This window comes from Homo sapiens, chromosome 3, assembly GCF_000001405.40.
Source record: "Homo sapiens chromosome 3, GRCh38.p14 Primary Assembly".
Classification (NCBI taxonomy): domain Eukaryota; kingdom Metazoa; phylum Chordata; class Mammalia; order Primates; family Hominidae; genus Homo; species Homo sapiens.
In genome coordinates this window covers 107,674,770-107,688,495 of record NC_000003.12, presented here as the reverse complement: position 1 = coordinate 107,688,495, position 13,726 = coordinate 107,674,770, and the positions used below count along the sequence as shown (strand labels likewise).

At 36.7% G+C, this 13,726-nt stretch overlaps 1 protein-coding gene across 29 annotated transcripts in view; it reads right to left on the bottom strand.

Annotated features, from left to right (window-relative positions):
• Window positions 1-13,726, bottom strand: part of BBX (BBX high mobility group box domain containing) — a 288,378-nt gene that overhangs the window by 122,844 nt on the left and 151,808 nt on the right. For 4 of the 29 annotated variants that reach the window (XM_024453644.2, XM_024453657.2, XM_024453662.2 and 1 more), the window contains exon 1: window positions 11,026-12,258. The exons of 16 other annotated variants lie outside the window; for them this stretch is intronic. In XM_024453644.2, coding sequence (XP_024309412.1) covers window positions 11,026-11,052 — 27 coding nt within the window. In that variant the 5' untranslated portion in view covers window positions 11,053-12,258. Of the gene's footprint in view, window positions 1-11,025; window positions 12,265-13,726 lie in introns of those variants that run through there. 9 more of the 29 variants (XM_047448598.1, XM_047448600.1, XM_024453663.2 and 6 more) reach the window with 4 other exon arrangements.

Below are 13,726 nucleotides of genomic sequence, written 5' to 3'. Positions count from 1 at the left end.
TTAACCCCTTAACTAATGGCTAAATTTATCCACACTGCCAAAGACACGGTCAAGAAGGAACCCTGGGTTCCCCAAGAGCTTCCTGCCACTGCAAACTTTGCCAACTGTGACCTGGATTCTCTTACTTTGGGCATCAACAACACATTGAAAAGAGTCTGAAAAGAACTGTTCAGTTATTTGTTGTGCTATTATTTAGGACTAAGTAGGTTCAGCAACTTTCAAGGGATGTGATCACAGGAAATAGGTCAGGTAACTGGCCATTCCTGGAACCTCAGGATTGACCTAGAAGAACTGGCTGGGCCTTTATAGGAAAGTAATGCTGAAGAGAGAACAGAACTGGAATTTTGTGGCATTCATACAGAAATGGTCAAAGATAATCTGGGAACAGATATAAAATGTAATAAAGTGTAAATAACATTTTGTATTTTTCTTCTTTTTTTTTCAGATGGAGTTTCGCTCATCACGCAGGCTAGAGTGCTGTGGTGCAATCTCAGCTCACTGCAACCTCCGCCTCCCGGGTTCAAGTGATTCTCCTGCCTCAGCCTCCAGAGTAGCTGGGATTACAGATGTGTGCCACCATGCCCTGCTGATTTTTGTATTTTTAGTAGAGATGGGGTTTCGCCATGTTGGCCAAGCTGGTCTCGAACTCCTGACCTCAGGTGATCCTCCCACCTTGGCCTCCCAAAGTGCTGGGATTACAGGTGTGAGCCACCGTGCCCGGACCATTTTGTACTTTCCATATTCATTTTCTGTTGCTTGTAGAGCACTTTTTGGGTAGTGAACTATGGGACCAATAATGGTACCAGACAGAGTAAAAATGACCAGTGTCTAGTCCTGGCTTTCACCTCACAAAAGGAAAAATAGATCCAATGTCAGGCCGGTTCAAGACAAAATTAGCAACTGATGAAGCTGAAAAACTGTGGAGAGTCTTCAAGCATCAAAAAGTTGGGCTAGATGACCATGAAGGCCTGTTATTACCACTGTATGCTATGATTTTACCTCCTTATCTCCAGCAGGGGCCAGGCTGTCCTGCATTCCCCGCTTCTCTGTCTATAAGTTCTCCATTCCCCCCTCTCCATTCTCTACAAGAAAAATAAAGACACAATATATCAGCTATGCGGGCCTTCACAGAGCCTTTATACTCGTTAAAAAAAAAAAAAAGAAACTTAACTGTGTAGCTGAGTCTTAAGAAAAACTGTAACAGCTGTTTTGTATATTTGTCTCACTCCCTGTTTTTCCCAGTTTATGCAAACTGCCCTCCATTATTAATTAACGCTGGATTCTATGATTTGAAAATTGGCTTAAAGCTGAATTTTGTAAGCCGTCACTAAGTTGTTTTTTAACTTCTGACATTTTAAACATTTCTGATGTGCTTTCTTAGAATTCTGTACTAAGGAAAAAATAACTTCTCCAACATTTTAATAAGAATTCCCAACATCTATTTAGAAAGTATATTGAAAAACATTTTTTTCCTTAAAAAAAGTCAATTTCTAATGTCCTCAAAGCAAAGCCATAGAGGCCCTTAATAAATATAAATTTTTTATTTTAGACACAATTCAGTGCATAATTTATTATGGAGATGTTAAACTTTCAGAAATTAGGAGATCTGGACCTTTAACGGGTTGGTTAGGACTAAACCACCTTAGCCCTACTTTTGCATTTATTCAGAATCTGGAGCAAAACTGCCTATGACACTAGAAAATGTGAACACCACAACTGTCTGCAGCTCAGACAAGTAATAAACATGGCCAAACCTGGGCCTTTAAATTGTGGGCCTCCTCACATCAATCCAACCATTCGTGTGCTCAGGGAAGAACTACCTGGAACACTGAGAGGCTCCTCCATGATGAAAAAATCAATGGGGAGTTCAAGTGCCCCTAGACATGACTAGTGGAAAGAGGGGTCTGTCCTTGACCATTAAAAGTGCTAAATTATTGATACTGCAAAGTCCAGACAACTACTGTCACTATTTCAACTATCTTCCAAAACAGTTTTAAAAACTTTCCTACTTAAAAATCACCACAGGTTTATAGTCTTAGAAATTCACCAGAAGAAAAAAAAAAACAAAAAACAAGAACAACAAAAAACACAGACAGCTCTTCTTATATTAAATCTACTACTGCTCAAACAGACAAAGGAAAACCAGAAGGTTTCTCTTATGGTTATTTCTAGATCTGAGATTTTATGAAGCATACATTGGGAATCACAGATAAAACTGTACAATGTTAGAACTGATCTAAACTCACCAATTTAATGATCTGTAAAAGTGAATCCACAAGAGGGTAAGTTAAAACTAAACATTTTGCACATAAACACACACACATATTTACGTATTTTCCTATTAAATTATAAAACTGAGATTACTTGAATTTGTACTATTAGTATGAGTAAAATGAGTACAGTATTGTTTTTAAGAGTAAAAATGGCCAGGTTTATTTACAATAAGATAATAAAAAGGACTCTTAGTTTCTTCTTCACTTTCCGCCTCTGAAATGAACTGGATCAATAAAGGAAAAGCTTCTTAAGGGCAATTTTATTCTATTATCCTAATGAGAGAAGTCACAGCCGAATGGAGCAGACAAGAAGTGATCTATTTTGAGAACAATCTAACAATTCTCAGGGTTCCTTGCTATTCTCAAAGGAAAGAATATCACAAAGAAAAGGTACATACCAACAAAAAACCTTGTGGTTACAAAACAAACGTGCAAAAATCTGCACTGAGAGTTTTACTGGAAATCAATAAAGACAAAAATTAGAAAAGTTGAATGAAAAATTATGTGGTTATTGGGACTTCTGCCCAAATAGAGTATTAGTTAAAATGCTCTAGGACACAGGGAGAATGCCTGTAAGGCATTACTTACAGCAGATAGCAAGCAATCAGAAAAGTGGAAATCAAGGTCCATTACTCATGGCAGGATAGCCTGCATTATCCTCTCACAGATGCATCACTGGCGAGAGCTGATGAAGAAAAATGAAGGCTGAGAAGGAAAGGGAATAGCGTATCTTCTACATGTAATTTTCAGCAACCTTTGATGAGTTTCCTCCCCTTTGCTTCCTTCAATTTCATTTAGAAAAATCATCTTGGTTAAGGCTATTCAAGTGTGACTTTGCAAATAGCCTAATGTGGCCCCAAATTACTACCCTCAACATTCGTTATACCAAACACCTGATTAAACACCCTCAAGTTAAAGTGGATCAAGGTAACTTTATGCTGATTCCACGAACAAGAACCTGTCAAACTGACAAATCAGTGTCTACTCTCATGGATACTGTCTCCTATCAGATGGGCTTCCTATTCTCTTAAAACTTGTTTCTTGATCCTGGCAGCCTCCTGTCAGTCTATATAACACCCTGGCTCCTAAAACTAATACATTCTTATTTTCTGTTCTCTAGTTTCTCTATAGATTATACTGTTGACCTCTGCTATTATTTGGCAGAAGTCTCTTGGAAGCCATTCATAGTGACCCTACCACAAAATTACCACAAAATTGCATTTCTTCAGAACCAACTCTACTTTCTAAAATATGTAATTCAGTTGTCCATGTTTTAAAACAGCTCTTAAAAAAGGACTGGCACTTCTACGGTGCTGCTTCCCCGCACCCACTTTGCCTACAATCAGAAAAAAAAGATGAAAGGCAGGAAGTGGCCTATCAACATGCAGCTCTCCTTCGAAGACAGATAACAAATACTGCAGTTAAAAGTATATTTGCAATTGCAAAGTTACTCTTCCTGAACAAATTCCAAATACAGTATCTATCTTTGATCTTACAAAGGCATTTTTCTTACTGTTCATAGCTGACATTGATGATTCAGTTAGGCACCCCACTCTCAACTATGGGAAAACTGTTCCCTGAAATTCAGTCATGTGAGTTTTCAGCTTTTAGTTGCCAGGCTAGAAGTGGCTGCCTTTGCTCCGCCACTGCTGCTTCCTTGGATATTTCTGCTTGTCATGGTGACGTAGGAACTTACCATAGCAACAGCATCCATTTGACTACCTGGGAGACCCTCTCAATTCCTTCTCTGTGATGTCAGACATTGTTGGACATTATTAGAGAGTTATTCAGCATCTCCTTGGACAGGGCTTATTACCTCAGAAAAAAAATATCGCAACTATGGGAAAAATTTTGAAGACCTTAAACTGAAACATAGTTTAAGTTTTTTATTTAAAAATGGAATCTATTTCTTAACCTTTCATACTTACTGCTAAGGCAAAAGTCTAATGATGATATGTAGAATGAAACAAGCTTATTTTAAAACAATAAAATATCCGTCATCTCCATGGTTCATGTTAAACAGTTAGAGAAGATAAATAGCAACCACATTATAATATTTGTTAAAAAATAGTTTCTTACCTGCAATAGGTATTGCTGAAGGGAATTTAGAAAGACAATTTTCCATCTGGGGTCTTTTAATGCAGGGAGGTAACAACAGATATTGACATAGTAAAATAATGGGAAGGCTCTTATTTTTGATAACTTAAAGTTCAGTTAGTAGAGAGCAACAGTAGGATTTAACTGAAGCCTAAGGAAGATGTATAATCCTGGGTTAGAAGTTACCATTACCACAATAGAATCTTTCTGGGTAAGAAAAAATAAAGCAGCTTTCATGGAAAAGAACTATGCTTTTAAGGTTAACACATGTGCAGGCACATGCATGCCTACTTTCTACAAAGTGTAGAGCTGATAGACACATAGATAGAAACTGGAAAATTGCCAACAGCACTTGGACCATAAAGTATTCGTTGCTCTCATAAAACAGAGTTTTGTATGAATGTGACCTCTAACGCCAAATCTAACTTTTGGGACGCATCCATAAAGTCAGCAGTTAGTACATTCTTGACTGACAGCCTGATAACTTAGCTTCTAAAAGGAGCATTAACCACTCCAGTATGTGAACATGCAGTGACTAAGAGCATCTGCAGCAAAGTTAAGAAAGCAGAATAAAAGAACGACAATCTAAACAAGCAATGTGTATACCATTGCATCTATCAGCATCAGGCAAATGTGATCACAAATAAATCCTTATAATACCCTGAAGTTTTCCTTCTCTAGCAAAATAGCTATTTTCTTTTCCCTGAAAAAGAAAACTATGCTTCCCATCCTACTAAAGGGCAGTAATTTTATGATACATGGCAAACATATGAGGAAGTATCTATTTCTAAAAAGTACAAGTTTACACCACATCACACCTTGAATCCCACCATCTTTGTGAAATCAAATAAAACACTAAAATCGGAAGCAGGGGGGACCTCTAACAAGGGCAGGCATAGGAATTTGATGGCAAAATCAATCAATAAAAATATTTTCCATTAAATGCATTTACAGTAACATTTATGTACCATAATTCTAATTAAAAAGAAAAGAAACTGTTCAACTATGTTTATGCCTAGTAAACATGCTGAAATGACAAACAATAAAATGTTCACAACAGATATGGAGTGGTATATGCATTGACTGATATTTTTGTCTCCATGCATTTTGGTGTTATTCTCATTCAACATGTCTTATTTTACAAACAAAAAAGAAAGTCAATAAGTTATTTTAAAATCAAATATTTTAAACATGATTTAATGGAGGACAAAGTATCAGGCTTCTGAGGTATCAGATCAATATGCTGCAGTGGAAAGTGATTTTCTCTTTCTGATCCTTTCTGTGACAACGTGACATCTTTTCACACTTGTTCAAAATTAACTGCTTCACCACATAATTACTGCAACTGCAGCAAATGAGCCTTTTTGTCTGTAATTCAATTACTGTGGGACATCTTATAGTTTCAGTATTTAGAAGTGAAGCATTTACTTGACTACATACATGGGAATAAAATAGACTCTCAACATATCATATCTTAATTAAGAATGAACTTTAAATTTCTATTGTTTGTTTATACCAGAGTCATCCTAGCTTATTAACCAATGTTATGGAATCTAGTGGGAGAGCAGAAATACTGTTTTATCTCATTTCTAGGTATCTTAAGTGATTGCCCCATTATGATCAGAAGCTGGAGTTGGTTTGCTGGAGTAGACCCTTCGGTCCCACAGTATTTTATCTACACAGCTACTGTGACATTATCACCTTCGACAGGGGTTTTATTGTTTGCAGGTTTGTCTTCCACACTTAATAGAAGCATACCTACTACAAAGAACAAATTCTTAGTGATGAATGAACGAGTGAACTGTCTTAGAAATAACTTGGGGAAAATGTCAGAGACAGCTTAAGAAATCATAGTGAATCATCCATAACCTCAATAACACTGGAAAAACTATTAAATGTTCTTTCCATAAGAAAAGTTCCCAACAACTTAAGTCGTCTTTCCTTCCTCGAACCTCACTCACCCTACCCATGTTCCTAACATCTTCATGAATTTATTCTACATCTGCTATTAAAAAGAGTAATCAAATTAGTTTTATGTGAAGTACACTTTTACAACACCTGATTTTTACTATCAATTGGCCTCTGGATTTCATTACACTGCACTGTTATGAAGCACGTTGAATGTGTGTGATTTTATTTCATGTTAGCTTTATCAGTAGCTGCTGAAAACATGCTTTTGGTGCAGCTTCCCCAGTGATCTAGACTGACTTTTATGGTCAGCAGGTGTAAGATTCTGGAAATTTATATTTATAGCCCCCCTGTTGCTAGCTTTACTGACAGGGAGAAATAAAATTTACCCTCAGTTAAGCAACTGAGTAAAACTATCCACAAGGTAGTTCACCTTAATAAAATAGTAAGTGTGGAAATCTCCAGAATTTCTACAGGAAATTCTACTTTATTCTCTCAGTATATGATATGCATCTTCAGAGTCCAAAGGGCGGACACTTCCAATTACTTCTCTGGTTAGGCTTAACTTACAGTAATATCCGGTACTCTAAAATCAGCATTTCTCAGTGAGGAAGCTTTTGGCATCTTGAGTGAGATAGTTCCTTACTTGGCAAGGCTGTTTCACTTCCTGCTGAGTTAACATATATCTAGGCTCTTCCCTGCCCTTTGACCCCTACACCCACTCCCAGACTGTGGCATTTCCCCAAATAATGTCCCACGAATTTCTAAACACTCCTTGTAGGGTTGTGGGATCCCTAGTTGAAAATCACTGCTCTAAATTGATCCCTAGTTGAAAATCACTGCACTATATAAATTTGAATTTTAAAAATAATTTAAGACTCCTTAAAAAAGACGTTTCATAACACCATTATTAACTAAACCTTTCCCCATCTATTTCCAGGAACATACAAGACTCATCTACTATATGCTTAAGGCATCCTTGGTGGACGTAAATATTTTCTACGTGACCTCTGGTTGCTAACAATCCTGATATCATAAACCTTCCATTAATATTTCTGTGTCTATTTGTGTTGATTACTTATAAGCTATCCAAATTGGCTTAATTTTGTTAAAACAGGTTTCTAAAGCATTATTTATCAGCACTACCATCAGGGCTTCCACCATTCAGGTGTCATTTTGAAAAGCATTACAGGAAGGGAGTCAATCGCTATACCCTCTATGCTGGGCCACCATGGTACAACACACGTAAAGAGGCACACTCCAAAATCCAGTGAAAAACACTACTTCTGCAAGTTTAGGCTTTCCAGTCAGCAGAGCAATGCAAAGCTGATGAGTCATTTCTAAAACATGAAGTGCAATTCTAAAACTTTCAGAAGAGTAACAAAGATCCAATCTGTTTAATTAATGAAAGGTTACATGGAATTGTAAATCTGAACTTTTTTAAACCATAAGAACTTCATGATCACTTAGTGTGGATGTTGAAACTTGAGTGTCTTCCTTATCTACATGGGCAGCATGTCTTAACGGACCGGTCAACAATCGAAGAAGCTTTTAAAAACTGCTATAGCGAGACAGAGCAATTCAATTGAATCACACATGGTCTCCCATAAATATTACATAAATAGTGGTTTCAGTGGTTTCTGACAGAAAACTCAGCCTCTTTCTGCTCCTTTTTCCAACAAGCCATACTGTCAGGTATGGGAAACCCTAATGCTTTCATAAATTTGGCTCTGTCACCTCTTCAAGTCAATCAACAACCTCATTTTACTTGGAAACCACTTCACCCTTACTTTCTGCATGTCTACTACCACTTACACCCCTTGGCCTCCTCTTAGAAATATGGGGCTTCTGAAATCCTATTTGGATTTTGGAATATTGGCTTTGTAAAGAGGTACTCGTAAGCGGTGATAAAGAAGTCCAACTCAGGAGTAGCTCTAGGTAAAACAGGGAAGCCAGATGTGTTCATTTATGCCATCCTTCGACTTTGGTCTGTGAGGAGCTTTTCCAGACATTCCTAAGAACCAAAAAGCCCCATGTGGCCAGTAAGGAAGGTTTGGCTTGCTTCTCCATCATCCAAAAATAGGGCTCACTTGTCAAAGTCTGACAGCCTTCTGGCCACAGTAACACTTATGGGCTCAGCAGGAAGTATCTGAAATCCTGAATTACATTCACACTGAACACTTGTTCCTCCCAGCCTTCCCTGATCCCAGGGACTCAGACCCTGCTTTCTTACTGAAGCTGTTCATTGCTGATAGACTTTCTGTTTTAAAATGCCAGTTCTGAGTCCTTCCAGGTTGTCATAGGCTGGGCTTTCCCAATGAGACAACAAGGGTTAAGTAACATAATAAATTAAAACTCATTTTAAAATATGGCTTTGGGGAAGAGTAATTTTTAATGAGTCTTCATGAAGGAATTTTAGGTACTACGACATCAAGATGAGAGGGGCTTTTTTATAAAGCCCCCATAGTACAAGTTCAGAGGAAAGAGAAAGCCTGGACTGTACTAATCCCTTTCTGGTTCTGTTTGTTCATGTTTTATTTTTTCCATTTTATAAAGAAACAATCCTAAAGCAAGTAAGCAAGCACTTTAACAGAATCCTGTTGTTTCTGGGATGGATCTTTTCAATGTTGCTAGCCACACACTATGTCTTCTTGAAGAGGTGATATTTTATTTATCTTTGTATGCCCAGTGCTATTGTTGTGCCTGGCATATATTAGGTGCTTAATAAATGTTCATTAGATCAATGGCTCTGCTGCTGGGAAACCACACAGCTTCCATATTCAGCACAGCAGGACCTGGACAAAGCTGAGAAAATATGCGACTCAAGCCCAGAAAACTCTATGAGCCTGAATTTTGGGTAATATGCATTAAATTATTACCATGATATGTAAATTCCATACAAATTAAAAATTATGTATCATCTGTGTCAAAGTAAGATATGTACGGTGTCAAACATAACTGTAATCTCTATTATCTAGACTACAAACTTTACAACTTGCGATCTTATATTCAATAAGAAAATGGCACAGACGCCATTTCAAAAGAACTACACAAATCTTTGGCTTTTTTTTTTTTTAATGAAGCCCTTAAATATGACTTTGAAAGAAATCCTAGACCATCCTGCTTAATTTCACTTTGTCTATGCTTCATATCTCATGCGATTTGACACAAATGTTAACTGTGAACTCTCTTTTTTCCTGAATTTGTAAACCCGCATCTATAAATTATTAGCTGCAAACTGTGTAATCTTGGGCAAGAAACCTAACCTCCCTGTGCCTTGGCATCCTCATTTGTAAAAGGAAGGATAATAACAGTATCTATTTCATTGTGAGGATTAAGCCATTTTTATATACACATACACTGCTTGGAATAGTGCTTTGCAGTAAGTGCAAATGAAGATTTGCTATCATTATCATCATAATTAATCATGGACTATAAACATTCAAGTCAACTTGAAATAAACTACAATTAACAACTTTTTTTTTCTTCTTGAGAAACGGTCTTGCCCTTCTTGCCGAGGCTGAAGTGCAGTAGTGCAAATACAGCTCACTGCTGTAGCTTGACCTTCTGGGCTCAAGTGATCTTCCCACCTCAGTCTCTAGAGTAGCTGAGACTACAGGCGTGCACCACCACACCCAGCTAATGTTTCAAATTTTTGCAGAAGCGAGGTCTCACTGTGTTGCCTAGGCTTATCTCAAACTCCTGGGCTCAAACAATCCTCCTGCTTCGGCTTGCCTCCCAAAGTGCTGGGATTATAGGCTTGAGCCACCATGCTAGGCCCATAATAACTTCTAACCATTAAACTCATGTAACCAAAAAAAGTAAAAAATTCATTCAATATTATTGAGAACCTACTATTAACCAGATGTTGTGCTAGGTTGACCTATGCTGCTTTAATCCAGTGCTCTCCTCACTAAATACCCTTAGGTAAAGAAATATCTCTGCATGTCAAAAATCTGTGGGTAGAGAAAAAATGGGGGTGGGGGGCAAAATATAAACAGCAGGAGCTTGGTTAAAATGTAACAATTTATAGTGACTAAGAATTCCATGAAAATGCATTTATTGGCATAAAAAGACACTGAAGATAAGTGGGAAAAAAGGTTGCATAGAATATAAGAGCCTGATTCCTTTAAAAAAATACATAATAAATATGTGCTTATATACACATAAACCAAAAAAGCCTGAAAGAATGAATGCTAAATTGTTTACGACATTATTTCTCTGTGATAAAATTATGGATGAGGTTTTCTTCTTTTTGGTAATTCTATTTTCTAGCTTTTCTTTAACTTAAAATACAAATAATTCAAAAATCAAAAAAGAAGACGTTGGGGTATACTTATAGTTCCGTAAACAATAAGCTTTTAAAAATACTAATAGGCTAAAGAGATTAACCAAATCATTGGTAAATTTGTATGCACTTAAGAATAAGATTGTTAGCTTGTTAATACAGATGTTTCTCAACTTACAAGTAACTTAAAAATATAATTAGTGGAAAATGTCTTTAATATACCCAAGTTACTGAATATCATAGCCTAACCTAGCTTAAACATGCTTGAAAAACTTTTAGTATTCGATAAGTTACATAAGATATGCAACACTATCATAAAATAGGCTTTCTGTTAGATGATTTTGCCCACTTGTAGGCTAATATAACTGTTCTGAGCATGTAGGCAGGCTAAGCTAAGTTATGATGTTTGGAAGGTTAGATGTATTAAACGCATTTTTTGACAGGATATTTTCAACTTACAGTGAGTGTATCAGGATGTAGCCCCATTTTAAGTCAAAGAGCATCTGTATTTGAAAAATAAATTCAACACTAAGAAATTTTTCAGAGGATCAAGGTCAGTGGTTCTTAGAACTTTAAAAGAACTTTGGAACCACACCAGAAATATAATCTGTATCTCTGCCACAAGCACAATGCCCTACCAAAGCAAAATACCAAAGCTTATTTTCTAACTAATGGATATTCTAGCAGGGGACCAGTTTTCTATGCTTTCCATATTTTTATAAAATTAAGAATGTAAAATGGTTATGAAAGCAAGTTTCCCAATGTTATTAGTACAGGTTACCAATGTCATGCTATGTTTGAGAACATATCAGGAATGTTCTAGAAACGTTTCCTATGATGAGTGGGCAGTATGACAAAATGACTGGTTAAAATTTTTCACTTAAGATTATTTTAAAGTATATATGAATCCATATATTCATGAACAACCAACCTTCAGAGAAAAAAATAAAAACCTGTTCCAATTATACCCTCTAGTCAAGAATGCTTCAGGATAATGCTAAACACAATTACAAGATGCCATCTAGTGGATGTTTTTATAAAATTTCTCTGCTTGCTTACATTTAAATCTTGATGAAATGATCTTTTAAAAAGCTATTCTGCATGAAAAAACACCTATCCCTTACACCGCTTTCTCACCAATTACTGGTCTGAGCTGGTGGACAACATATTTTAAACACACACAACTCTGACTGGTAATATTGATTTTAAATCTCAAGTTGAATATCTGCCACTACCACAAAGAATAAGGAACAGCCCAGTTATCTCCTAAGTGGTCCAGGACCTATAATGGCTGCATAACACAAGTTAGAAAGGAGATTCAATTTAACATGCTTTTATCATTCACTTCAGATGATGATGATAAAAGATTAGCATCATTATATCAGGACAGTAATTACTGTTACTGCTGCCCTACATTTTATGAAAACAAACTCACTTGTTCTAAATAAGCTATGTCTGATATTTAGAAATCAGTATAGTGTTTCCAGCAAAGCTGTGAAAGTGGTACCATGTCCCTACATGTACACAGCTGTAAAGGCTCCTTTTACCATCAGGGTGGCAGTAACACAAGTTATGATCAATTAAATGGTATTAATGAAACCAATTAATGTAGCATAAATACATAAGGCAAAATGGAAGACTGATATCCAACCAAATGTTTATTTATAGTATTAGTCTATGATAATTCAGATACAATTTATAATTAAACTTAATCAGATGAAATCCACATCTATCTAAATTACCTTAGTTATAGACTCATTGTTTTGTTTTCTTTTGATCTTTGGAAGCAGATTCTATAATTTTTTTTAAAAGCTTCTAATTTTCTAGATATTTTCAGATTCCCACATTGTAAAACAGAAATTATCAATTTATTTGGAGGGCATTCCTACTGTGTGATAATAAAAAGTTTTTATTTTAAAAAGTTTTCTGTAGCCTATCATAACTGGCTTCCCTAGGAAAATTCTCCATTTGTCACTGCTATTTCTGGTGTCATATTTAATTTATAGGATAGTTTAAAGAGCTACTCTTCTAAAAATGAAACCCTTCAATATAGACTTGATAGGGACTGCAAATCCAGCCCCTGGAGATCATCTTGTCCCCCAATTCACAGATGACAATAAAAAGACCCACAGGAGTTAAAGGTTAGCTCAAGTTCACCAAACCAATTAGTGGCAGAGTTAAGCTCTGGGTCTCTTGACCACAAAATCAGAACTCTTTCCGCTATATCATACTGCCTTTTTATTCTTCCCCAAATAGTAACAGAATGTCTCCTTTAAAAGCTTCTTAAGGTACTATAGTTTCATTTTTGATCTAAAAGGTCCATGAGGGAACTGCTGCCTAAGTGTATCAGACACAAACGACGGTATTAAAACTGAGCTCCTCCATGATCATGAGAAGAGAGGGGCAAAGCAGCTTCTGTAGAGCAATCCAGATCAGTGGTTTTGACAAGGGGACTGAGAGACAACAGAACAGACTCATCAGTTATTGAAGTGAGAATCTGTGTTGTTTACTAAGAGGGCACAAGGAGCTGCTTCTGCTTCCCATCAGCACAGTCCTTAAACTAGCTGAGGCTGAGGGAGCACGATTTCCTCCGCAGGTGCTCAAAACATGATGGCCAAAAAACAGAAGTTCACAAACTAACCCTCAGTATCTGAGAAGAAAAGCTCTGATTTCCGTCAAAACTGCCATCTTTTGCCTCTCATCATATCACAGAGTAAGGACAGATACACTATACATTCTTTCAGCTCTGAACCCTTTCCAGTCTCCAGGGTCTGAAACTTTAATCTGGATCTTCCTATCAGATTAATGGCAGTTGACACCATTTATGGTATAGTTAAAATGTCCTTTCTTTCTTCTGCAACTTATTTCTTACAATTCATAAACCATATTCTGACATAATAAATGCACACATAAATGGAAGTCTGAAAACTTGGACTCTGTAAGCAGGAGCATGCCTTAGCTAAATCATCTAACCTGTCAATCTCAGGTTCCCTCTTTCGTGTCTGGAGATGGCTGGCCCCTACATTCTAAATTACTCTAAGCCTGTTACTTCTTAAAAACACTCTGCAACAAATTCAACACAATAGAACTTACCAGGCCTTGCCCTAACACTACCTCTTAGCAAAGGCTTTAACAGAAGTCTGAGGAGTGTAGTGATAGG